The following is a 24,235-nucleotide window of genomic DNA, read 5'->3' as shown; positions in this document are numbered from 1 at the left end:
AATTGTCACTGTGACAGAACAGAAAGGTACCAGGGTGGGGCAGGCCCAATTCAGTCTATGGGGCCACTTCCTCACCCTCACCAGTTGATGCCTCAGAGGATTTTAAAGTCTAAAATTGGACAAAACAAAGTGCATACACTCTATTCCCCAACCCACCCCTGGGTGGGGGAAAGCCTTGTCCTGAAGTATTTTCACAGAAGCTCTGGGCAACCAAATGTCATAGGCAGTCTGTTGCACAGCTTAGCCATTGTCTATTTTCAGAGCCATGTGGAACCACATGGCAATCCCATCCTCTCTGTTCCAAGGTGGCCTGAGTGTTCCTTCAGTGCTACCAGGCTCTTCTGGCTTCCTGGGCTCCTAAGCGCCTCACTCTTGCCTGGATCTTAAGCCTATGTCTCTTGGTTTACTCCCTCATTTTGCTGAAGTGCATCCTTCAACAACTTTCCAACAAAGGGTGACTGGGAGGTACTTTCCTGAGAGATGTTATTTATCTATCTTTTTCTGTGAATGGTCTGTTTGTATCCTTTGCCACACTTTCTACTGGGCCATTTGTCTTTTTCTTTTTCTTTTTTTTTTTTTTGATACAGAGTTTCGCTCTTGTTGCCCAGGCTGGAGTGCAATGGTGTGATCTCGGCTCCCCATGACCTCTGCCTCCTGGGCTTAAGTGATTCTCCTGCCTCAGCCTCCTGAGTAGCTGAGATTACAGGCATGTGCCACCACGCCTGGCTACCATTGGTCTTTTTCTTATTGACTTATGAGAGCTCTTTATATATTAGAGAAATCAGCTCTTTATTTTGAAATGAGTTACAAGTATGCTGTTTGTAACAAGTTACAGTTTGTTATTTGTGTTTTGGCTGTGATGGTGGCTTTTTCCATATAGACTTTATTTTTTATGCAAATGGATTATTGATCTTTTCATAAAGGAAAATAAAAATTTCAGGACCCCCAAATTTGTTATGCTAAAGGGAGAGTTAAGCTTGGAGACTGAGCCACACAACACTGGCATTCCTTTTTTTTTTTTTTTTTTTTTTTTTTTTTTTGAGATGGAGTCTTGCTCTGTCACCCAGGCTAGAGTGCACTGGCACAATCCCGGCTCACTGCAACCTCCGCCTCCCGAGTTCAAGCAATTCTCCTGCCTCAGCCTCCCCAGTAGCTGGGATTACAGGCACCCGCCACCATGCCCAGCTAATTTTTGTATTTTTAGTAGAGATGGGGTTTCGCCATATTGATCAGGCTGGTCTCGAACTCCAGACCTCAGGTGATCCACCCGCCTCGGCCTCCCAAAGTGCTGGGATTACAGGCGTGCTGGGATTACAGGCGTGCTAGGATTACAGGCGTGCTGGGATTACAGGCGTGCTAGGATTACAGGCATGAGCCACCACACCCAGCCTTTTTTTTTTTTTTTTAATTTTATTCCGGCAACACTTCATTCTATGCTGCAGAACTAATGTTCTCCAAAACTGTCATTCTTTTCCCAAATGGATACCTGTTACCTTGCAACCTTGTGTCAAAATATTATGCATTAACCAGATCCCCACAAAAAGGCAAAAAGCCTCATGAATCTCCAGGTGACTGCAATCACAAATTGCTCAGCAGTAAATTCTTTGCCAGTCCCTAAAACTTTCAGGATGTATATCCTCCTATAAAACAAGGACATGTCAACTGCAACTTTAGGTCTGCAACCTAAACCTAACTCCTAAAACCAAAGTCTGTTAAATTTCACACTGACAATGTCAATTACAAGTTTATCTGCCCAGGTGCAGAACAAGGATAAGATGAGATCAATCATTCCTCCACCTAACCTGAGACCTCTGCATAATTGGCTCTTCTGTTACTCCCTGTTCTTCCAGTGTTCACCCTATCTTCCATATAGCTTAGATTTACGGGACACTAATTAAGAGTCTCACAAAAACATAACCATTTGCCTCACTGTCTTCTCCCCTTTAAAGAAATGTACAAATATTGAGCCTCCTGAAAACTTCTTGGGAGAGCACAGGCCACAGACGTTTCTTTGACTTGTGTTGCTTTCCTGGGCACGCTCCAACTCTGGCTCAGTAAACCTCGATTGATTGAAGCTCTTGCCTCAGTCTCTTATTTGGGTTAAGATTTTCTTTTTTTTTTTCTATAGACTAATTTTGGAAGTGAAAGATTTTCTTTGATGGTTTCTGTGTTTGGTGACACAGAAGTTTCCTCCACTCCAGATTCTACAAACTCCTCCCTTTGTTTCTTCAGTATTTTTAAATTTTTTAAGAGAGCCTCACTCTGTCACCCAAACTGGAATGCAGTGGTGTGATCACGGCTCACTGCAGCCCTTAACTCCTGGGCTCAGGTGATCCTCCTGCCTTAGCCTCCCAAGTAGCTGGGACTACAAACATGTGTGACTGTGCCTGGCTAATACATATCTATCTATTAATCTATCTATCTATCTATAGATATATATATGTAGAGATGGGGTCTTGCCATCTTTACCAGGCTGGTCTTGAATTCCTGGCCTCAAGCAGTCCTCCTGTCTCAGCCAAGTAGCTGGAACTACAGGTGTACATCACCATGCCTGGCTAATTTTAAAATAATTTTTTTTTTTTTTTTGTAGAGATGGAGTCTCACCATGTTGTTGTCCAGGCTGGTCTCAAACTCCTAGGCTCAAGAGATCTTCCCACCCTGGCCTCCCAAAGTGTTAGGATTACAGGCATGAGCCACTGTACCTGGCCCCCAACTTCTCGAATAAAATGAAACTATGATTCTTGGCCTCACTCACTACCATGTGACATTGATCAAATCACTTCACCTCTCCAAACCTCAGAGTCTTTATCTGTAAGATGGAAAAAGTAACACCTACTTCAGGGGCTGTCATGAGGATTAAATAAATGTGCCCAGCAGGTAGTAAGTATACAACACAAAGCATCTAATGGTTCATTCATACATTTGCTTATTTTGCAATTATTGGCCACCTGCCAATGTTGGGCACTGTTCTAGGCACAGGGGATACAGCAAGGGCAAACACCTAACTACTGGTGGAGGGAAGACGATAAACAAATACGTAAAGATTTGTGCCAGGTAGTGATAAAAGCAAAGAATGACCCATGGAGAGGGTCAGCTGGGGAGACCACGCAGTACCCTACTTTGTCACAGTTCATCCAGTGAGGGACATTTTTACAGGGCACATGACCTTAATCTTTTTCATTAATCTTGGTTAATTCATTTCCAGGAGGTCAAGTCTCTTGTGGTTCTGTGGAATCACCAGATGCTCCTGTGGGTGTGGCTTAGTCTGAGCTGATGTAACAAGTAGCTCTGTGTTGCTGGCACCATCTGGCTGTAGCAGGGTTCAGTGTGGGAGGCCTTGCCTGTGAACTGTTCTAGAAGGCAAGCTGCAGGGCTGCATAACACTCCATTTTCCACTGTGAGTGCTGGGGGGACAGTGGTTAGCAGATGACATAGGCCCAGTCTTCAGGGTGAGCGCAGGAAGATGAATGAGAAAACCCTTCAATTCTGTGTAGCTGGGCTCTCTGGGGATGAGAAACTCAGGGGTTGGGGGGCACAGAGGAGGCCTCAATGCAGGCTAGTGAGGGTGGGGAGCAAGACAGTAAATGGAGCTGAAGCTGGGGCCAGATGCCAGGTAGGCCACACATTTCATCATCACATCTCTCAGCAACCCCAGCCCAAAAAGCTGGCCTCCTTTCCAATCTTCCCAGCCAAAGTCCCTGGACAAGCTGATTGGACCAACCAGAGTCAGATGCTCATCCCTGACTCATCACAGTGGCCTGGAAGATGCCACATGTTGACTAGTTGGTAGCAGCAGGCAGGTACTGGTACCAGTAAGGCAAGGCTGCTGGATATAGACACAGAAGGTCATTAGGACATGGGAAGTTCCTCACCAGGCTCTGGCCCTCTTTCAACCTCTGGGCCTTTGCACATGCAGTGCCCTCTTCTCAGAAAACCTTTCTGGCTGGGACTAGTAAGTGGCTCACGCCTGTAATTCCAACGCTTTGGGAGTCCGAGGCGGGCAGATCACCTGAGGTCGGGAGTTCGAGATCAGACTGACCAACATAGAGAAACCCCGTCTCTACTAAAAATACAAAATTAGCCAGGCATGGTGGTGCATGCCTGTAATCCTAACCACTCGGGAGGCTGAGGCAGGAGTGAACCCGGGAGGCGGAGGTTGCAGTGAGCCGAGATCGCGCCAGTGCACTTCAGCCTGGGCAACAAGAGGGAAACTCCATCTCAAAAAAAAAAAAAAAGAAAAAGAAAAAGAAAGAAAACTTTTCCCTCCACTCTGCTGGGCTGTTTCATTCTCCCCTCTAGGTTTCCAATCTTCGCCTTCTCCTGGCAGCCCCTCACATTGTCTCGGCGGGCTCTCACCACCATACACTCCATCTAGTGGGTGAAGGCGGGCCTAGGCCCGTGAGGGCAAAGCCTAGCGGCCATGATCACCCCGAGGTGCCCAGGACCCCACGGGAGGCGCTCAAGAAACGGCCCCTGGGGAAGAGCTGGCGCGCCCACCCACAAGCAGACCCCTTCCTGGGTGCAAACCCGTGTACGCTGGGACCCACTCCTATTCGGAGACCCACCTGGCTTGGGGCGCACAGATCGGGCGCGCGCGCACGATCCGCCCCACCCACAGACCACCGTGATCAGGGCGCACAGACACACACGCGCGTCCTCCCACGCACGCTCGGTCACACGCAGGCCCCCCTCTCCTGCCACAGAGGAACGCGCTGGCGTGCGCACGGCGGATCAATCATCATCCTTAGACCCACCCGGACCGAGGCGCAGGCTGCGCGCACGCGCGGCCCCGAGTCCCCGCCTCCCTGCCGCGCCTGTCGGGGGCGGGGCGCCGCTGGGGGCGGGTCCTGCGGCACCGCCCGGGAAGCTGCGCGAGGGTCGACAGCCTCCGCCACATCCTCCACCTCTCTTGGTCCAGCGAGCGTTGCCGGGCCAGGGTCAAGCGGAGGGCTCCGACGGCGCGGACGGAGCGAAGCGCCGAGCCATGGCGCACCAAACGGGCATCCACGGTGAGGGCGGATGGCGGGCGGGCAGGGGGCCTCGGTCTGGGCTCTCGGAAGCGCCCCCCCCCGGCTCTCGGCCCCTCCCTCCACCCCACACCAGCCGGGAGAAAGCTTCCTGTTCTCTTTTGCAGCCGCGGGTCGCCTGGGGTGGGCACATCTGGGGGAGTACGGACGTGGTGTGCATAGCTGGGAGTGGGTGTATGTGTACGTACACAACTGGGGTGGAAGTATCTGTGTGCCTACCTGGAGATGAATGTGGCTGTGTGTGCCCATCTGTATATTTTTGTTCCTTTCCGGGAGTGGGTGTACACGCATGTGCACACGTCTTCCGTGTACAGTCCTGCCTGTGCACCTCTGGATGTGACTCGCTTGTGTACATCTAGGGTCATTCATGCACTGGCACTAGTGACTGTTTGAATGGACACTGTAGGTCGCATAGGACCCTCTTTAGACATCAGTGTTTCATGGCAGTGTGCACATGTATGTGGGTGTCTGTGTGTGTGCACAGTTGGAGCGCGTCTCAGTGTGCATTTTTGCCAAGGATGCATATACCGCATGTGTCTGACTTGAATGGGCTTGTTTATGTGTGTTAGGAGAAGGCCCTGACCTTTGCTCCTCCCAGGACACTCACTCTCCCCAGGCTAGGGAAAACCCGGAACAGAGACTTCTACGTGGGATGGAGAAAGCTGCCTATCTGACCTTGACCTCTGACCTCCCTCCCATTTTCCACTGTGACTTTCTGAGTCTGCCTCAGTCTGGTTGGAAGATCCCAGCTCCAGGCTGCAGACAGAGAAGAGGTCCAGATATGGGGTTTTGTGGGGAGAGTCCTGGCCCTAAAGAATCCAGGCCAGCTCCCACCCCCAGCCCCCAGCCCTAGGAAGCTTCACCATTCCCGCATCACACCCTCCCCTCCCCTAGGGGTCCCAGTTTCCTTCTTGGACAGGCTGTGAGAGAAGCAATGGCTGGGAGCCAGGTGCCCTGACTCTACCTGGGGCTCAGTGTCCTCCTCTGTCACTGGCCTGAGAGAGCTGCCTGGCCTGTGGGGAAGGCCCGGGCTGTTTGCCCAGACAGCCTGGCGGGTTTGGCCATCAGCCACCCCTCCCACCACACTAGGATCCCCTGCCTGGGGCTGCCACCATCGACCTGCCTGACCACCTGAATCCTGGTGCGGTTGTGGCCACTTGGTGGCTGGGCTGCCCTGAGAAGGTTTCCCTGGCCCCGCGAAGGCAGGGGCCTGGGTCAGGGCCAGGGCTCCCAGATGGGCCAGCCTTTCTCCAGGAGGAGCTGGCGGGCAGGCTTCATGACTCAGCCCCACAGGAGGGAACTGCCTCCTGGCCAGCTTCTTCCTTCCCCTTTGTCTGGTCATAGCTGCTGCCTCCCAGCCTCCAGCCCTGGTGGAGGAGATCCCAGGAAGTTAGCCACCCCATACCCCTTCCCTGCTGCCTCACTCCCTCCTTTCCCATAGTGAGACAGGCCCACCGAGGGGGTCACTGGGGACTGGGCTGCCCCTAGCCCTCCTTCCACCTGTGAGCAGCCCACTTCTTCCCATTTCTGGCCTGGGAAGTTGGCAGCAGAGATCACCCTGGAGGACCAGGTGCCAGCCCTGTCCTGACCATAGGTGTGGATCTGCTGACCGCAGAGTAGGCAGGAAAGGGACCTGTAATGTGAGGCTCACTTGAGTCGGAGGGAGGGTGTTCATGAATCATTGATAATAGAGGCTCAGGTGTCCCAGGCCTGGCCTCTGGATTATTGATGGTGGCTGGGCAGGCATTGGGGCTGGGGTGGGCAGGGATGTGCCTTTCCCTGTGGGGGTGTCAGTTTGCCCTGGTAACACTAGAAGGGGCCCGTCGGCCTGTCCCTTAGGGGAGCTTCTTGGCCTTCCTTCTGGGAAGGTCTGGGCAGGTAGAAGGGGCAGCTCAGCACAGTCAGCTTGCTGTTATTATCATAATAAAAGATTAATTGTTATTAATAGAGGCCACCATCGCCAAGCCCTTTCTCCCATTTACCCCTCACCACAGCCCTGCCAAGTTTGGGGCTATTATTTCCATTTTATACACTGAAGTTCAGAGAGGTCAGGAGTCACACAGCTGAGGGAGAAGTGGAGCCCCAGAGGCCAGGCTTGGGGCCTCAGGGACCTGCTTGGGATCTGCCGATGGAAAGTTCTGTCCTGGCCCAGTGGGATGGTGTCCACCTGCCTACAGTTCCATGCCATGTTTCTCTGAGCCCTAAGGGTCTGCTGAGCTCAGTTGGGCCCCAGCCCACCCAGTGGCCTTGGAGGGTGGTGCATAGCCTGAGGTCTCAGATTAACGGTCACTCTGCAAAGGGGGGGCACCTGAGGACATAACCAGAGTTTGTTTTCCTAAAGGCCCCCCCGCCCCTGAGTTGCCCAGTCCTGGCCCTATAAATATTCTCTGACCTCAGGCCTCCAGCTGTGTTCCTGACGGAATTCCCCTGACCCTTGGGCAGCCTCAAGGTCACACTGGCCTAGCCCTGCTCACCCAGGGACCCAAGCAGGGCCCTTCCCCACATGGGCCGTGGTGGTTTCCCTGTCCACTAGTAGATCCACCACTTATGGCTCCCCAGCTCTCACCATGGTCCTCACCTCTGCCCTGGGGTCCTTGGTCACTCACTGGCTCTCACCTTCCAGCTCTACAGCCCAATGACCAAGATGGAGTCTCTTTTTTTTTTTTTTTTCTGAGGCGGAGTTTCACTCTTGTTGCCCAGGCTGGAGTGCAATGGTGTGATCTCAGCTCACTGTAACCTCCGCCTCCCGGGTTCAAGCGATTTTCCTGCCTCAGCCTCCCGAGTAGCTGGGATTACAGGTGCGTGCTACCATGCCTGGCTAATTTTTGTATTTTTAGTAGAGATGGGGTTTTGCCATGTTGGCCAGGCTGGTCTTGAACTCCTGACCTCAGGTGATCTGCCCGCCTTGGCCTCCCAAATTGCTGGGATTACAGGTGAGAGCCACCGCACCTGACCAAGATGGAGTCTCTTAGTGAGTTTCGGGGAGCCATTCCTTCTCCTGGAAGCTGCCCCAACTGCCTGAGGGTTAAGGTCATGTTGTCCCCCCACCCCCCACAGGGCTGTATCTGGGCTGGCTGTGGCTCCTCGGGGTCTCAGGGTTAGACAGCCTGGCTGGAGGGCTGGGACTGGGGCTGCACACATGGGTGTCATGCGTGTCCATGTGCTTCTGTGTACACTTTGATACATCCTGTTGCCTGCACACACGTCTCAGCCAAGCTCTGCACTTGCCTGCCTGTGTGCGTGTTAGCAAGCCGGGGACTATATCTCTGTGTGTGTTTGTGTATCTAAACATGCGTGTCCATTTGTGTTTGAGCAACTGAGCATGTGTTCATGTATGAGGGTGTTTGAATTTCTGCTCCTCTGTCACACATGCGTGTTGTGTGTTACATTCACACATGCTGGATTGAGCTGTGTGTGTGTGTGTGTGTGTGTGAATGGGCATAGTGGTCATTGCACAGTGGGGGCATTTGTCTGTGTTCTTTTTTCTGTGTATATGACTGTGCTGAGTGTGTCCAGGCCAGCCCAGAGCTCGGCCATCCTGCGGGGCAGGGGGCAGATGGAGGCTATTCACTGTGGCTGGCCTGGCTTATGCCAGAGCCTGCCCATCTTCTGGTGGGTTGTCCCATCCCTGCCCACCCCGCCCCATCACCAGACCTATCCCAGCCAGCAGGCCACTCGCCTGCCACCTCTGCTGGCTAAATTTGGGAGCTTGTGTTCAGTGGCTGTCTCAGGTTCCCAGTCACATGGGGGGCTGTATTTAACCTGGTTCCCAGCTCAGCCACCAGACCCTGTGGGACAGAGCAGGCCCCATACTCGTCTCTGTCCACTCTGCCCACTCATCCCCCACCATGTTTCTTGTTCTTATAGCCACGGAAGAGCTGAAGGAATTCTTTGCCAAGGCACGGGCTGGCTCTGTGCGGCTCATCAAGGTTGTGATTGAGGACGGTGAGTGCCCCTCACAGGCCAGGGTATAGGCTTGGGGGTGGACTCTGCTGCCTCTGTGGGTGGGGGAAGGAGGATGTTGGCCCCTGGCCTGCCGGGACCTCAATTTCCCACTCTGGAAATGGGTGTGAGGCCATCCTGACAAAGGAGAGCCTCACAGGGCAGCATCAGAGGTGGGCGCAATTGTCACCTCTGTTATGCAGAGCAGGAAGCCGAAGCTGGGGTCAGCAAATAGAGCCCTGTCCTGGGGTCCTGCCACCTCCCAGAGGCTGCATGGATATTCAGATGGGCCTGGCCAGGATGCCGAGCTGGGCTGGGCAGAGGGGCAGGGGATAAGTGAATCCAGCACTGCCCCTTGTGGCTGGTGCCACCCGCCTCATTTGTTGGTGGCCTGGCCTGGCTCAGCTGCTGTCCGAGGGGAGACCTAAGGAGATCCTGCACCCTTCTCTTGGAAGTGCCCCCATGATGGGGAGAAGGGATGAGTGTCTGGCTCATCTGAGAGTAGGATGGGAGGGTTCTAGGCTTGGCTGGGCTTTGGCCTTGCCCCTGAGGACCTGGGAGCTGTATAGAGGGCAGTGCTGGGGACACTGGGACTTGAGCTGAGGCCTGAAGTGGGGAGGGTTTGGGGAGGCAGAGGATTAAACTGAGGAGGATTGGGAGGTCAGAGGCCAGAGAACATTTTTTCACCTTTCCTCCATGCCAATGGACTGTCCCTTTGGGTGAGGGGTACAGACTTTGGGACTGGGGTGGGCCAGGCTCCCCAGAGGTCCTCCCAGCTCTTCTCATTAGCCATTCAGCAGCAGGCACTTTGGATGGCTGCCTGAATGGGCCTGGTGCTCAGCTGGCTTTCCACGCGTTGTGTTGGCTCAAAGCAGGATCTGCCATTCCAGGTTTTAGGGCCTTGGCAGTGCTTTGCCCAGGGAGTCCAAATTCTGATGCCCTCAGAGACTGGGCAGGGGTCACTGTGGCAGAATATTAGTGATGGCTTCCTGGAGTGGCAGGCCACAGCCACCCCACCCTTAAAAAGGCAGTTGTACTCATTGACCCCAGTCCTCGGCCCTCCCTGTTGCCTCCCAGACAAGATGTCCCTGCAGATTTTTTTTTTTTTTTTTTTTTTTGAGACGGAGTTTCGCTCTGTCACCCAGGCTGGAGTGTAGTGGTGTGATCTCAGCTTACTGCAAGCTCCGCCTCCCGGGTTCACGCCATTCTCCTGCCTCAGCCTCCCGAGTAGCTGGGACTACAGGCGACCACCACTGCGCCCGGCTAATTTTGTATTTTTAGTAGAGACGGGGTTTCACCATGGTCTCAATCTCCTGACTTCGTGATCCGCCCACCTCGGCCTCCCAAAGTGCTGGGATTACGGGCATAAGCCACCGTGCCCAGCCGTCCCTGAAGATTTTAAGCAGGAGGAATCTCTGGATTGACTTTTATCTCAGTTCTGCATGACAGTTGTTGGGGTACCTGGGACTGCCCAGGAGGGTCCAGGCCCCCGATGGGCAGCCACTGTCCATCTCCAATTGAGGATGGCTCCAGTGTGGCCAGAGGGCCTGATTTTTCTAGAGAGGCTGAGAATTCTACTTCTTATGTAAAATTTCCCAGTTTGAAAATGTTAGCAACAAATTAAGCAATGTTGACAGTGCTGTAGGGGCCAACACAGGCCGTGACTACTCAAAGTCACTGTGACTGTGATCCTGTCTGAGTTCTGGGTGGGCAGGTGAGGAGGCCGAGGCCTCAGAGGGCCTGGTCTGTTGGGGCGTCCAGGCATCGGGGCCCCTGCCCAGATCAGGAGAGTCTGGTGGACTGACACCAGGACCCCCAGCCAGGCTGACTGCCCCTTTGCCCCAGTTATTGCTCCAGGCTAGACCTGTGTATACCCAGGCTGGTGTCTGGTGCCCAGATGAGGTCCCAGTCTACAAGTGCAGCTGGATGCCCCATTTCAGCCAAGGAGCTAGCAGGCCTGTGGGGCCTAGGCACTTAGATGGTGGCTGCTTTGGATCTGCGACATTTTCTTTCTTTTTTTGAGACGGAGTTTCGCTCTTGTTGCCCAGGCTGGAGTGCAATGGCGCCATCTCCTGCTCACCACAACCTCCGCCTCCTGGGTTCAAGCGATTCTCCCACCTCAGCCTCCCGAGCAGCTGGGATTACAGGCCACTACACCCAGCTAATTTTGTATTTTTAGTAGAGACGGGGTTTCTCCATGTTGGTCAGGGTGGTCTCGAACTCCCAACCTCAGGCGATCCGCCTGCCTCTGCCTCCCAAAGTGCTGGGATTATAGGCGTGAGCCACCGCGCCCGGCAAGGATCTGTGACATTTTCGAGGGGACTGCAGCTGGCAGGTAGCCGCAGGATGTCTGTTTATCCAGGGTCTGGTAGGAGCCCCTGCTCCTCCTTTCCAGAGGCTTTTACCCCTGTAGGTCCCTGTGGCCTGGGGCTGTGACCTGCCCCTCAGCACATTTGTCCTGAGGGGAGTCTGCTGCGGTTCTTCTGCTGGAGCCCCAGGGGAGGAGGCGAGCAGGAGGCAGTTTCGTGGGGACTGTGGGCTGAGCAGCTGTGCGGTGGGGATGGGGTCCAAGGGAGCACCCAGGGGTGTGGTGTCCGTGAGGGGCTGACGGCTGCGTGTCTTTGTGTGGCTGTTTGTGTTGGTGATCTGCGCACGTGTGTGTGTGTGGGGGGGTGTGTGCACGCGCTGGGGATGTGCAGGGGGGCAGCCCCCAGGTGGCAGCTTTGTGCCTTCCCTTGCTCACTCATTCAGCCACACAGCCTCACACTTCTGGGACCTGGGGGCTCCAGGGAAGGTGAGGGGCAGCCGGCGGCTCTGAGCCAGCTGGGCAGCCACGGCGAGGCTGGAGGTCTGCAGCGGGAGGCGCAGTGGGAGCTGGGAGCGGCTGCTCATCCGGCCTCTGCCCCCAGAGCAGCTCGTGCTGGGTGCCTCGCAGGAGCCAGTAGGCCGCTGGGATCAGGACTATGACAGGGCCGTGCTGCCACTGCTGGACGCCCAGCAGCCCTGCTACCTGCTCTACCGCCTCGACTCACAGAATGCTCAGGGCTTCGAATGGCTCTTCCTCGCCTGGTCGCCTGATAACTCCCCCGTGAGTCCTGGGCCAGTGGGAAGTGAGGAGGGGAGCTGGGGCTGAGCCAGGCAACAAGGCCTTGCCCTGGGGGATCCAAGAGGGGACACAGGCCTGCCCCTGGAGGGTGGGGGAAGAGCTGTCAGGCCGTGCCCTAGGGAGTCTGAGAGAGGGTCAAGTCCCTGTGCCCGCAGCCTGGGTACCTCTTGCTCTCCAGGCATCAGCCTGGCTCCGGAGGCTGTGATCAGGCTGGACGAGGGCTCCCCCTGCTGGTGGGGGCCACCTGCTGCGTCCTGGCCCCGGGCTGGCCCTCTGCCAGGTGTGCCAGCGCAGTGAGCCCACCGAGTTCCTCCAGAGGCACCTGTCTGTTCCGGGAGAGGCAGCCCTGCCCAGAGGCCTCTTACGGTTTGGCCCTTGCCCTTCAGGTGCGGCTGAAGATGCTGTACGCGGCCACGCGGGCCACAGTGAAAAAGGAGTTTGGAGGTGGCCACATCAAGGATGAGCTCTTCGGGACTGTGAAGGTAATCCTAAGCCAGGACTTACCGGGACACAATCCTGGGCCCACAGAGAGGGGTCACTGTGCAGGGTCAGAGAGCAAGCTAGTGCCAGCTTCGGGAGGAAGATGGGGGCGCTGGGGGAGTCCAAGGGCTGCAAGCTGGCGTGCTCCGTGGGCCTCCTCTAGCCAATCCCCAGGTGCCCATTTATGGCTCTGCATTCACCCCCACCCCTGCAGGATGACCTCTCTTTTGCTGGGTACCAGAAACACCTGTCGTCCTGTGCGGCACCTGCCCCGCTGACCTCGGCTGAGAGAGAGCTCCAGCAGATCCGCATTAACGAGGTGGGTGGGGAGCAGAGGCCCCAGCCTTGAGCCCTCAGGGTCATATCGGCCCAGTGGCAGCCTGTGCTGCCTGGGAGCCACACCCTGCTTTGGGCCGGTGAGGGCCTCCCTCACCATTCCCCTACCCACAGGTGAAGACAGAGATCAGTGTGGAAAGCAAGCACCAGACCCTGCAGGGCCTCGCCTTCCCCCTGCAGCCTGAGGCCCAGCGGGCACTCCAGCAGCTCAAGCAGAAAATGGTCAACTACATCCAGATGGTGGGTGCCTGCTCCCTACCCTGGCACATGCTGCCACCACCCCTACTCCTGCCCATGCACATGTGCAGATGTACATGGAGTCCCCACTCCACCAGCCTGCAGTCTGTCCCCTTCAGCTCGTCCATGTGCTTGTGGGAACACATGGTCCACCCCACCCCTCCCTGATCCCTACCTATTCCGCCTGGGGCGCAGACACTGTGTGCACATAGATGTGTTCTGGTCCCTTGTCCCCAGGCCCTGCTCATACACAGGTACACCTGTGAGCACACTGCCCCATTCCGCCCTCCACCCATACCCCTGGGGTCACACTGACCCCTCAGCCCCGAGGCCCTTCCTGTCAGAGATCCCCTCTGTTGTCTCCTTGACCACCCCGTTTCCCTAGGCAGGGTCCTTCTGCCCTGGCTGTTCCGGCTGCCGCTTTCAAGCAAAACGGCTCCTCCCTTCCAAGATGCTTCCGCCAGAGGCCTTGCCTCTGAGGATGGGCTGGCCCAGTGGCAGTATCTCCCTGAGGTTGTGACCCTCCACACCATCCTGTCCCAGGAGTCACTACCGTTGACTACCCTTGGTGGGAGTTCCTTCTCTAGCACAACCTTCAAAGGGGCAGAGTTGGGGCTGGGCCCAGGACTGGCCTCTTCAGAGGGACCCCCATAGAGGGATGGCCATTGCAGGGGAGTCTTGGGAGAGGGAGGTCACATCAGGCTCCTGCCCACCAGCTAATCCTGTTTGAGGGCTTCCTGGGGAGAGGGGCCTGGGCCCACCCCGACCTGGTGCTCTCCCATCTTCCCTTGGCCCTGGGCAGAAGCTGGACCTAGAGCGGGAAACCATTGAGCTGGTGCACACAGAGCCCACGGATGTGGCCCAGCTGCCCTCCCGGGTGCCCCGAGATGCTGCCCGCTACCACTTCTTCCTCTACAAGCACACCCATGAGGGCGACCCCCTTGAGTCTGTAGGTGAGTGGCCATGGCAGGGCTCCCAAGCCTGTGGCTGGGTGGGAGCAGGGCTGGTCTGCAGTGGGGCAGGCCTGCTCTGGGTGCGAAGGTCAGCAGGTTTCTCAGGCCTCCCAGGCTCACCTCCTGCCCCCCAACAGTGTTCATCTACTCCATGCCGGGGTACAAGTGCAGCATCAAGGAGCGAATGCTCTACTCCAGCTGCAAGAGCCGCCTCCTCGACTCCGTGGAGCAGGACTTCCATCTGGAGATCGCCAAGAAAGTAGGCGCCCTCCCCAGGGCCTCACCTCCCCAGGCCCTATCACTCCAATCTCCATGTGGGGCGCTGGGGTCCTGAGATGACGGCAGAGCAGGAATCGTTGCTGTCGTGTTGATCATAGGGCATCTGAGGCCCAAGGAGCAACACGCATGGCCCAAGGCTGCCCAGCTGATCGGTGGCTCAGAAAAGTCCAAGTCCTGGCTACCATGTCATGTCCTTTCCCTGGGCCTGGAGACAGGGAGGAGGTGACCCCAGCGAGCAGAGTCCAAGGCATGCAGGGCAGCAGGCCCTAAGCTCTTGCTTTCCTGGGAGTGGCATTCCAGGTGGGGAATCAAGGGGAGACCTCAGGAGACCCCAGGGCTAGGATGTGAGAGTAAGGGGTGCCCCAGGAGTGGGGGCTACCAGGGGTGGTGTGTGTCAGAGCCCCTCCCATTGGGGTGACCACTGCCTTGCCCCATGCAGATTGAGATTGGCGATGGGGCAGAGCTGACGGCAGAGTTCCTCTACGACGAGGTGCACCCCAAGCAACACGCCTTCAAGCAGGCCTTCGCCAAGCCCAAGGGCCCAGGGGGCAAGCGGGGCCATAAGCGCCTCATCCGCGGCCCGGGTGAAAATGGGGATGACAGCTAGGAGGCTGGAGCAGGGCCGGCCACGTGTGGACTGTGGGGCTGCCCACCTTCCGCTCCCTGCCACCATCCTCCTTCCTGGGCTCCAGGAAAGTGTTTCTGGGAGGTCAGGAGGGCTGGCAGCTGAACGCACTTGCAGCGTCCGAGGGCCACCGGGCTGGCATTTTGTGACCCTTCCCTGTTGCTGTCCCTGCATCTCGTCTGTGTGCCCAGGGTGTCCGGGGACCCTGCCTGGCTGGCTTAAGGGGGCTGGGTCAGGGGCCTGGCATGAACCTGGCCTCCCGGGGAGCTGAGACTAGGGTCCCAGCACAGCCCAGAAACCTTTGGCCACAAGAAGTGGGGTCAGTCAGGGCTGGGGCAGGGGTCACTGCAGTTTGGGATGGTTGAATGCTGTATTTTCTAAAGAATAAAATATTTTTAAATCAAGACTTGTGCTTGGCCCTGAGAGACCGCCTCTGGCCCTGGGAATTGGGCAGTCTTGTGCATATAACTGTCCTTTCCCAACAGGGGAGAGGGGAGTGCCGGCCTGCGAGGTGGAGCCCCAGCACTCCACCTCCAGGTGTGTGGGAGAGGCTGTGCCTGTGAGTGGGCGTGCAGCCTCACGCGGGTCTCCCAGTCAACAGGAGCCCTGCTGGAGAGGCAGGCGCGCCTCCACTGTGACATGAGGGATCTGCATATGGTCATTTGCTGAGGCTGCCGTAACAAATTACCACCAACTTAGTGGCTTCGAAGAAACTCAAATGTATTCTCTTACAGTTCTGGAGGCTGGAAGACTGAGATGGGTCTCACAGGGCCAAAGTTGAGGTGTTGGCAGGGCTGGCTGTGTCTGGGCCCCTCAGAAGAACCCATCTCCTGGCCTTTTCTGGCTGTATTCCTTGGCTTGGGGCCCCTTCCTCCACCTTCAAAGCCAGAGGTGACATCTCTGATTCTGCTTTCCTCAGCCTCTGGGCTCCCATGGCCTTTTGTAGTCGAATCTCCCTCTGTCTCCATTTCATAAGGGACATTGTAATTGCATTCACCCTCCCTGCCCCCACCACCTACCCCTGTCAAGATGGGTAACTTAATCACATCTGCGAAGTCGTTTTTGCCACACTGTGGGGTGTTGGGGTCACGTGTTTGCAGGTTTGGGGAATTAGGACAAGGATCTCTGAGAGGGACTTTATGCAGCCTCCCACATGGGATAAGGGCTCCTCCTCGAAGGCTTCCCAGCCTCCCTGGGCTGAGGCCAGGACAAGTTTTTCTGTGGACATCGATATCGGTGTCTCCAAGCTGAGTGTGTCCATGTGCGTGGGTCTGTACCTGTGTGTGCAGACCCCTCTGTCAGCTTACTGGCCTCTCTGGTTTTCTGCCTCCAAAGAAGGCAGGGCCACTGCTGGGTATGGGGGTCTGGGTCCCTGGTCCAAGGGACTCTGGGAAAGTCTCAGGCTTGGGGCTCCACAGGAGCCCGAGCTTTGGTGTATCCCTCTGAGAGGTGGATGGAGGGAATGAATGCAGGTGCCTTCCACCCCAGGCAGGCAGGAGTGGAAGCATGGGGTTGATGCCTGCAGCCCAGCTACTGAGTGGGCACTGCTCTCCTTCCTGGCTCAGGGCAACATTCTATCCCTGGCGCCTTTCTGAGCCCCTGCTCAAGCCCCTAGAATTGTAGAGAGGAGAGCCAGACTAGCTAAGACCCAGAGGAGGCTTGTCCTTGCCCAGCCGAAACATTGGCTCCCAGGTGGGCAGGAAGACGATGCCATCGCCCCCTGCTGCTGAGCCAGCCAGATGCCTGGCACTATGGAGCCTGCCTGCCATGATACCACCCAGAGTGGGCCTGGGGGGAGCAGGCTGGCAGATGTGCAGCCTTGCCTCCTCCCAGCAGCAACAATTCATTAATTCATTCATTCAGCCTTCACTCAGAAATACCCTCTCTGTGCCTGCCCAGAGCTGACTGCTGGGTGTACATAATTCAGCAGATATCAAGCACTTACTATGTGCTGGGCACTGTACTGGATCCTGGGGATGCAGATAAAAGATCACTGCCCTTAAGAAGCTGACATTCCAGCAGGGGAATAAGACGATATACAATAAACCATGAAAGATCAATGATCCGGTGTGCTAGCAGTTAAAAAATGTTAGGACAAAGAGAAACATAGACCAGGCAAAGGAGCTCAGGAGTGCCAGATCTGGGGTGGGAGGTTTGTAAGAAGGCTGGATGGCCCTGTTGAGAGGGTGACATGGGAGCAGAGACATAATGGAGGCAAAGGAGGGGTCATATGAGACTTGGGGGAGTTTTCAGGCAGAGGGAACAGCACATCCCAAGGCCCTGAGGCAGGAGAATGCCCAGGGGCTACACAGTCAACTGCAAGCAGGCCAGTGGGCCTGGAGAGCACTCAGGGGAACAGCGGGTGGCAGGTCCCATAGGGCCTTGTTGGCCATCTGTGGACTGTGGCTTTGACTCCAGAGTCAGCCAGGGAGGGGTCTGAGCAGAGGAGGGACCTAGTGTGACTTAGGTTTGAACAGTTCCCTCTAGGGGCTGAATGTGACCAGCCCCTGGAGGGCAGAGAGCAGGGCAGGACAGCCAGAAGGGAGGTGGCACCTGCATGGGTCTAGGAGAGAGGATGGGGGCTGGTGGACATGGGGACGGTGGGCTGTGGGCACACCCTTCAGCATGGTGGACCCAGCAGAACTTGCTGAGGGGCCCGGGGTCACCCAAGGCTTTGGGCCCGAGGAATCTGAGTCTCCTCACCTAGATCAGAAGGAGAGTGGGAAGAACTGATGGGGAGGACTGGCTGGCGGCCCTGCTGGGCCAGCACACACCTGGCCTCTAGGAGCCCCATCTGGAGTGACGTGGTGTGTGCTCTGATGGGGCCCCAGGGGCTCTGGGAATGTGGAGGAGGAGGTCTTGTTTCCGGAAGATGTTGCAAGGCTGTGGTGAAGGCAGGTGCAGCCTAGCCTCCTGCTCAAGCTACACCCTGGCCCTCCACGCATGAGGCCCTGCAGAACTCTGGAGATGGTGCCTACAAGGGCAGAAAAGGACAAGTCGGCAGCCGCTGTCCTGAGGGCACCAGCTGTGGTGCAGGAGCCAAGACCTGAGGGTGGAAGTGTCCTCTTAGAATGGGGAGTGCCCAGCAAGGTGTACCCGCTACTGGTGCTATCCAGAATTCCCATCTCTCCCTGCTCTCTGCCTGAGCTCTGGGCCTTAGCTCCTCCCTGGGCTTGGTAGAGGACAGGTGTGAGGCCCTCATGGGATGTAGGCTGTCTGAGAGGGGAGTGGAAAGAGGAAGGGGTGAAGGAGCTGTCTGCCATTTGACTATGCAAATGGCCTTTGACTCATGGGACCCTGTCCTCCTCACTGGGGGCAGGGTGGAGTGGAGGGGGAGCTACTAGGCTGGTATAAAAATCTTACTTCCTCTATTCTCTGAGCCGCTGCTGCCCCTGTGGGAAGGGACCTCGAGTGTGAAGCATCCTTCCCTGTAGCTGCTGTCCAGTCTGCCCGCCAGACCCTCTGGAGAAGCCCCTGCCCCCCAGCATGGTAGGACAACAGCTCTCAGTCCCCTGGGGAAGGGGATATCCTGGGAAGGGGTGGGGAAAGAAGTGGGCTTGGCAGCTGCAAGCAACAGTGACGGGTTGTCACCCACATGGCCCTGGGGACACTCACTGAATCCTGAAGACTTCAGAGCCGAAGCCCTCTTCTTTTTTCTTTTTTTTTTTTTTTGAGACGGAGTTTCGCTCTTGTTGCCCAGGCTGGAGTGCAGTGGCTTGATCTCAGCTCACTGCAATCTCCACCTCCCGGGTTCAAGTGATTCTCCTGCCTCAGCCTCCCAAGTAGCTGGGATTATGGCTTGCGCCACCATGCCTGGCTAATTTTGTATTTTTAGTAGAGCCAGGGTTTCTCCATGTTGGTCAGGCTGGTCTTGAACTCCAGACCTCAGGTGATCTGCCCACTTCGGCTTCCCAAACTGCTGGGATTACAGGTGTGAGCCACCGTGCCCAGCCACTGAAGCCCTCTTCTGAGCAATGAGACCCAAACCCCCAGAGGGGACGAGGAGACTGAGGCACTGATGGAGCTGGGGCTGGAGCCTGGGTTTGGGTCTCACTGGGCCTGTAGCTTGGGGCTGGCTCTGTCTGGCACTTTGCAGGCCACCCCTCTCTCCATCTGTTCTGACCCATAAGGCAAAGGCTCTCGGGCTAGGTGAGGCAGGCAGAGAGTGATGGAGCTGTGCAGTGCCCTCTGGCCAGGGTCCCTGGGAGGCAGCCGGCCTGGGCCATAGTGGGAGACTCTCACACCTGCCTGAATCTTGGCCGAAGGAAAAGGAAGGGGTTGTGGGGTGGCTGGTGGAGGGCAGAGAGCGGATTTCAGGGCAGCTGGAGGGGAGGGAGCCAGCTGCCACCTTGCTCAGGAGCAGGAAGGGAAAGTCGGGGAGAGACCAGGGGGGGCCGTGGGCCACCTTGCCTGGCCTGGTATAGCCAGGGATTGGTTAAGTGAAAGCTGTAGATCATAAGTCTGGATTCTAGGTCTCAGTCCTGGTTCTGAAGCCTAATTCTGAGTCCAAGACTGGGTCTGAGACTGAGTTCAGGTTCCCCACAAGCCATGGGGGATGGGAATGGGGCTTGGCAGCCAGGAAGAACTTCTGCAGGTAGGGCTTGGAGAGAGGGGTTGGAAGATGCTAGAAGATGCCCATGAAGTGGAGTGGGTGGAGGTAGAGCTGGGGGCCGGCCACTCACACAGCCCTCCCACCCCCACAGGGTTTCTGCCGCAGCGCCCTGCACCCGCTGTCTCTCCTGGTGCAGGCCATCATGCTGGCCATGACCCTGGCCCTGGGTACCTTGCCTGCCTTCCTACCCTGTGAGCTCCAGCCCCACGGCCTGGTGAACTGCAACTGGCTGTTCCTGAAGTCTGTGCCCCACTTCTCCATGGCAGCACCCCGTGGCAATGTCACCAGCCTTTCCTTGTCCTCCAACCGCATCCACCACCTCCATGATTCTGACTTTGCCCACCTGCCCAGCCTGCGGCATCTCAACCTCAAGTGGAACTGCCCGCCGGTTGGCCTCAGCCCCATGCACTTCCCCTGCCACATGACCATCGAGCCCAGCACCTTCTTGGCTGTGCCCACCCTGGAAGAGCTAAACCTGAGCTACAACAACATCATGACTGTGCCTGCGCTGCCCAAATCCCTCATATCCCTGTCCCTCAGCCATACCAACATCCTGATGCTAGACTCTGCCAGCCTCGCCGGCCTGCATGCCCTGCGCTTCCTATTCATGGACGGCAACTGTTATTACAAGAACCCCTGCAGGCAGGCACTGGAGGTGGCCCCGGGTGCCCTCCTTGGCCTGGGCAACCTCACCCACCTGTCACTCAAGTACAACAACCTCACTGTGGTGCCCCGCAACCTGCCTTCCAGCCTGGAGTATCTGCTGTTGTCCTACAACCGCATCGTCAAACTGGCGCCTGAGGACCTGGCCAATCTGACCGCCCTGCGTGTGCTCGATGTGGGCGGAAATTGCCGCCGCTGCGACCACGCTCCCAACCCCTGCATGGAGTGCCCTCGTCACTTCCCCCAGCTACATCCCGATACCTTCAGCCACCTGAGCCGTCTTGAAGGCCTGGTGTTGAAGGACAGTTCTCTCTCCTGGCTGAATGCCAGTTGGTTCCGTGGGCTGGGAAACCTCCGAGTGCTGGACCTGAGTGAGAACTTCCTCTACAAATGCATCACTAAAACCAAGGCCTTCCAGGGCCTAACACAGCTGCGCAAGCTTAACCTGTCCTTCAATTACCAAAAGAGGGTGTCCTTTGCCCACCTGTCTCTGGCCCCTTCCTTCGGGAGCCTGGTCGCCCTGAAGGAGCTGGACATGCACGGCATCTTCTTCCGCTCACTCGATGAGACCACGCTCCGGCCACTGGCCCGCCTGCCCATGCTCCAGACTCTGCGTCTGCAGATGAACTTCATCAACCAGGCCCAGCTCGGCATCTTCAGGGCCTTCCCTGGCCTGCGCTACGTGGACCTGTCGGACAACCGCATCAGCGGAGCTTCGGAGCTGACAGCCACCATGGGGGAGGCAGATGGAGGGGAGAAGGTCTGGCTGCAGCCTGGGGACCTTGCTCCGGCCCCAGTGGACACTCCCAGCTCTGAAGACTTCAGGCCCAACTGCAGCACCCTCAACTTCACCTTGGATCTGTCACGGAACAACCTGGTGACCGTGCAGCCGGAGATGTTTGCCCAGCTCTCGCACCTGCAGTGCCTGCGCCTGAGCCACAACTGCATCTCGCAGGCAGTCAATGGCTCCCAGTTCCTGCCGCTGACCGGTCTGCAGGTGCTAGACCTGTCCCACAATAAGCTGGACCTCTACCACGAGCACTCATTCACGGAGCTACCGCGACTGGAGGCCCTGGACCTCAGCTACAACAGCCAGCCCTTTGGCATGCAGGGCGTGGGCCACAACTTCAGCTTCGTGGCTCACCTGCGCACCCTGCGCCACCTCAGCCTGGCCCACAACAACATCCACAGCCAAGTGTCCCAGCAGCTCTGCAGTACGTCGCTGCGGGCCCTGGACTTCAGCGGCAATGCACTGGGCCATATGTGGGCCGAGGGAGACCTCTATCTGCACTTCTTCCAAGGCCTGAGCGGTTTGATCTGGCTGGACTTGTCCCAGAACCGCCTGCACACCCTCCTGCCCCAAACCCTGCGCAACCTCCCCAAGAGCCTACAGGTGCTGCGTCTCCGTGACAATTACCTGGCCTTCTTTAAGTGGTGGAGCCTCCACTTCCTGCCCAAACTGGAAGTCCTCGACCTGGCAGGAAACCAGCTGAAGGCCCTGACCAATGGCAGCCTGCCTGCTGGCACCCGGCTCCGGAGGCTGGATGTCAGCTGCAACAGCATCAGCTTCGTGGCCCCCGGCTTCTTTTCCAAGGCCAAGGAGCTGCGAGAGCTCAACCTTAGCGCCAACGCCCTCAAGACAGTGGACCACTCCTGGTTTGGGCCCCTGGCGAGTGCCCTGCAAATACTAGATGTAAGCGCCAACCCTCTGCACTGCGCCTGTGGGGCGGCCTTTATGGACTTCCTGCTGGAGGTGCAGGCTGCCGTGCCCGGTCTGCCCAGCCGGGTGAAGTGTGGCAGTCCGGGCCAGCTCCAGGGCCTCAGCATCTTTGCACAGGACCTGCGCCTCTGCCTGGATGAGGCCCTCTCCTGGGACTGTTTCGCCCTCTCGCTGCTGGCTGTGGCTCTGGGCCTGGGTGTGCCCATGCTGCATCACCTCTGTGGCTGGGACCTCTGGTACTGCTTCCACCTGTGCCTGGCCTGGCTTCCCTGGCGGGGGCGGCAAAGTGGGCGAGATGAGGATGCCCTGCCCTACGATGCCTTCGTGGTCTTCGACAAAACGCAGAGCGCAGTGGCAGACTGGGTGTACAACGAGCTTCGGGGGCAGCTGGAGGAGTGCCGTGGGCGCTGGGCACTCCGCCTGTGCCTGGAGGAACGCGACTGGCTGCCTGGCAAAACCCTCTTTGAGAACCTGTGGGCCTCGGTCTATGGCAGCCGCAAGACGCTGTTTGTGCTGGCCCACACGGACCGGGTCAGTGGTCTCTTGCGCGCCAGCTTCCTGCTGGCCCAGCAGCGCCTGCTGGAGGACCGCAAGGACGTCGTGGTGCTGGTGATCCTGAGCCCTGACGGCCGCCGCTCCCGCTACGTGCGGCTGCGCCAGCGCCTCTGCCGCCAGAGTGTCCTCCTCTGGCCCCACCAGCCCAGTGGTCAGCGCAGCTTCTGGGCCCAGCTGGGCATGGCCCTGACCAGGGACAACCACCACTTCTATAACCGGAACTTCTGCCAGGGACCCACGGCCGAATAGCCGTGAGCCGGAATCCTGCACGGTGCCACCTCCACACTCACCTCACCTCTGCCTGCCTGGTCTGACCCTCCCCTGCTCGCCTCCCTCACCCCACACCTGACACAGAGCAGGCACTCAATAAATGCTACCGAAGGCTAGATGGCTAACTCTGAGCTCACTGGAGGCATGGACAGGAGGAGGGAAGGGAGAATTCTCCAGGCCTCCACGAAGCAGCTTAGGGAAAATTGCCATAAAGACGGGACAGAGGTCTGCAGGGGAGGAAGCTGCTAAGCTCTGTTCTCTGGGGAGTCTGATGATGGTCACTGGATGTGGTCTTGGTCCTTCCCAGAGAGTAGGGGCCTCTTTTAGCCCCTCCCAGAATGCCCTGCCCTACCTTTCCCATGCAGAACCGGGCAGCACCTGACAGACTTGGCAGCACCCCTTTGTTGTGTATGGGTCTCAGGTTGTCTGTCTCCCTCGCCTACTGGACTGGAATGCCTTGAGGGCAGAGAAGCTGCAGGCTTGGTTCCTTTCTGGCGCTCAGCAAAGTCTTGAGTGGCAGCAGCTATGGGGACTGTTCATTCCAAAACGGTAGAATGAATTGCAGCAAAGGTGGAGGGGTGATTGCGCCCTCTGGTGGCCATGCCTGTGCCAAGCGGAGAAGGCTGGTTCAGGGTCGGGAGGGGAAGGCCTGTGGGTGCATCCCTGCAGCAGGGAGCTGGGAGCCACAGACAGGAGAATCCACTCCTTTCTCTTTCCACCTACAGGTGCTTGCTGGGTCTCTCCATTCTGATATTAAAGGGACACCTAGGCAAGCCACCTCCCTCCCTCCCTCCCTCCTTCCCTCTCTCCCTCCCTCCCTCCGTCCCTCCCTCCTTCCTCCCTCCCTCCCTCCTTCCTTCCTTTCTCTCTCTCTCTCTCTCTCTCTCTCTCTTCTTTCTTTCTGAGACAAGGTCTCACTCTGTCACCCAGGCTGGAGTGCAGTGGCATGAACACTGCAGCCTTGACCTCCTGGGCTCAAGCGATCCTCCCACCTCAGCCTCCTGAGTAGTTAGGACCACAGGGGTGCACCACCATACTCAGCGAATTTTTTATTTTTTTGTAGAAACAGGATCTCACTATGTTGCCTAGGCTGGTCTCAGACTCTTGGATGCAAGTGATCCTCCCGCCTCAGCCCCACAAAATGCTGGGATTATAGGCGTGAGCCACCAAGCCTGACCTTTTTTTTTTTTTTTTTTTTTGCCACAGTCTTGCTCTGTCACCCAGGCTGGAGTGCAATGCAATGGTGGGATCACAGCTCACTGCAGCCTCAACCTTCTGGGACCAGGTGCTCCATCTCACCCTCCCATGTAGCTGAGACTACAGGCCACACCCAGCTAAATTTTATATTTTTAGTAGAGACCAGGTTTCACCACGTTGCCCAGGCTGGTCTTAAGCTCCTGGGCTCAAGCAATCCTCCTGCCTCGGCCTCC

At 57.1% G+C, this 24,235-nt stretch overlaps 2 protein-coding genes and 1 long non-coding RNA gene across 3 annotated transcripts, besides 11 other annotated features; 2 read left to right on the top strand and 1 right to left on the bottom strand.

The window, feature by feature from the left end:
- Positions 2,641-3,169: an enhancer, noted in NCBI's record as "NANOG hESC enhancer chr3:52274848-52275376 (GRCh37/hg19 assembly coordinates)". NCBI's record gives its function as "activates a minimal SCP1, AML or CMV promoter by ChIP-STARR-seq in naive H9 embryonic stem cells {active_cell/tissue: H9 hESC(naive)}" and the evidence as "EXISTENCE:reporter gene assay evidence [ECO:0000049][PMID:30033119]".
- TWF2-DT (TWF2 divergent transcript) lies at positions 2,904-4,763 on the bottom strand. Its single transcript, NR_135307.1, has 2 exons — positions 4,566-4,763; positions 2,904-3,826 (listed from the first exon to the last, which is right to left on the bottom strand). It is a non-coding gene; the product is annotated as a TWF2 divergent transcript (long non-coding RNA).
- Positions 3,368-3,557: an enhancer, noted in NCBI's record as "active region_19933". NCBI's record gives its function as "activates an Ori minimal core promoter by ATAC-STARR-seq in GM12878 lymphoblastoid cells {active_cell/tissue: GM12878}" and the evidence as "EXISTENCE:reporter gene assay evidence [ECO:0000049][PMID:35858748]".
- Positions 4,211-4,260: an enhancer, noted in NCBI's record as "active region_19932". NCBI's record gives its function as "activates an Ori minimal core promoter by ATAC-STARR-seq in GM12878 lymphoblastoid cells {active_cell/tissue: GM12878}" and the evidence as "EXISTENCE:reporter gene assay evidence [ECO:0000049][PMID:35858748]".
- Positions 4,681-5,200: a silencer, noted in NCBI's record as "silent region_14434". NCBI's record gives its function as "represses an Ori minimal core promoter by ATAC-STARR-seq in GM12878 lymphoblastoid cells {active_cell/tissue: GM12878}" and the evidence as "EXISTENCE:reporter gene assay evidence [ECO:0000049][PMID:35858748]".
- TWF2 (twinfilin actin binding protein 2) lies at positions 4,843-15,389 on the top strand. The gene is made up of 9 exons (NM_007284.4): positions 4,843-5,009; positions 8,895-8,972; positions 11,879-12,057; positions 12,462-12,557; positions 12,770-12,874; positions 13,006-13,131; positions 13,931-14,081; positions 14,219-14,340; positions 14,800-15,389. Exons 1-9 carry the CDS (start codon positions 4,985-4,987, stop codon positions 14,965-14,967), a joined length of 1,050 nt encoding a protein of 349 aa, NP_009215.1. The 5' UTR covers positions 4,843-4,984; the 3' UTR covers positions 14,968-15,389.
- Positions 6,168-6,710: an enhancer, noted in NCBI's record as "H3K27ac-H3K4me1 hESC enhancer chr3:52271307-52271849 (GRCh37/hg19 assembly coordinates)". NCBI's record gives its function as "activates a minimal SCP1, AML or CMV promoter by ChIP-STARR-seq in naive H9 embryonic stem cells {active_cell/tissue: H9 hESC(naive)}" and the evidence as "EXISTENCE:reporter gene assay evidence [ECO:0000049][PMID:30033119]".
- Positions 6,711-7,252: an enhancer, noted in NCBI's record as "H3K27ac-H3K4me1 hESC enhancer chr3:52270765-52271306 (GRCh37/hg19 assembly coordinates)". NCBI's record gives its function as "activates a minimal SCP1, AML or CMV promoter by ChIP-STARR-seq in naive H9 embryonic stem cells {active_cell/tissue: H9 hESC(naive)}" and the evidence as "EXISTENCE:reporter gene assay evidence [ECO:0000049][PMID:30033119]".
- Positions 12,097-12,306: a silencer, noted in NCBI's record as "silent region_14433". NCBI's record gives its function as "represses an Ori minimal core promoter by ATAC-STARR-seq in GM12878 lymphoblastoid cells {active_cell/tissue: GM12878}" and the evidence as "EXISTENCE:reporter gene assay evidence [ECO:0000049][PMID:35858748]".
- Positions 17,223-17,722: an enhancer, noted in NCBI's record as "H3K4me1 hESC enhancer chr3:52260295-52260794 (GRCh37/hg19 assembly coordinates)". NCBI's record gives its function as "activates a minimal SCP1, AML or CMV promoter by ChIP-STARR-seq in primed H9 embryonic stem cells {active_cell/tissue: H9 hESC(primed)}" and the evidence as "EXISTENCE:reporter gene assay evidence [ECO:0000049][PMID:30033119]".
- Positions 17,723-18,224: an enhancer, noted in NCBI's record as "H3K4me1 hESC enhancer chr3:52259793-52260294 (GRCh37/hg19 assembly coordinates)". NCBI's record gives its function as "activates a minimal SCP1, AML or CMV promoter by ChIP-STARR-seq in naive H9 embryonic stem cells {active_cell/tissue: H9 hESC(naive)}" and the evidence as "EXISTENCE:reporter gene assay evidence [ECO:0000049][PMID:30033119]".
- Positions 17,877-17,966: an enhancer, noted in NCBI's record as "active region_19931". NCBI's record gives its function as "activates an Ori minimal core promoter by ATAC-STARR-seq in GM12878 lymphoblastoid cells {active_cell/tissue: GM12878}" and the evidence as "EXISTENCE:reporter gene assay evidence [ECO:0000049][PMID:35858748]".
- Positions 18,356-22,921, top strand: TLR9 (toll like receptor 9). The gene is made up of 2 exons (NM_017442.4): positions 18,356-18,474; positions 19,689-22,921. Exons 1-2 carry the CDS (start codon positions 18,472-18,474, stop codon positions 22,782-22,784), a joined length of 3,099 nt encoding a protein of 1,032 aa, NP_059138.1. The 5' UTR covers positions 18,356-18,471; the 3' UTR covers positions 22,785-22,921.
- Positions 18,477-18,576: an enhancer, noted in NCBI's record as "active region_19930". NCBI's record gives its function as "activates an Ori minimal core promoter by ATAC-STARR-seq in GM12878 lymphoblastoid cells {active_cell/tissue: GM12878}" and the evidence as "EXISTENCE:reporter gene assay evidence [ECO:0000049][PMID:35858748]".

Source organism: Homo sapiens, chromosome 3 (genome assembly GCF_000001405.40).
Source record: "Homo sapiens chromosome 3, GRCh38.p14 Primary Assembly".
Taxonomy (NCBI): Eukaryota; Metazoa; Chordata; class Mammalia; order Primates; family Hominidae; genus Homo; species Homo sapiens.
The sequence above is the reverse complement of the archived record's forward strand: the minus strand, read 5'-3'. Positions and strand labels throughout refer to the sequence as shown.

What these genes read in the sequence shown, in the direction of transcription:
- TWF2 (NM_007284.4), top strand. Translation starts at nt 4,985, where the DNA reads ATGGCGCACCAAACGGGCATCCACG. An exon ending in GCACCAAACGGGCATCCACG is followed by an intron (nt 5,010 to 8,894) that starts GTGAGGGCGGAT and finishes TTGTTCTTATAG; the next exon opens with CCACGGAAGAGCTGAAGGAA. An exon ending in CAAGGTTGTGATTGAGGACG is followed by an intron (nt 8,973 to 11,878) that starts GTGAGTGCCCCT and finishes CTCTGCCCCCAG; the next exon opens with AGCAGCTCGTGCTGGGTGCC.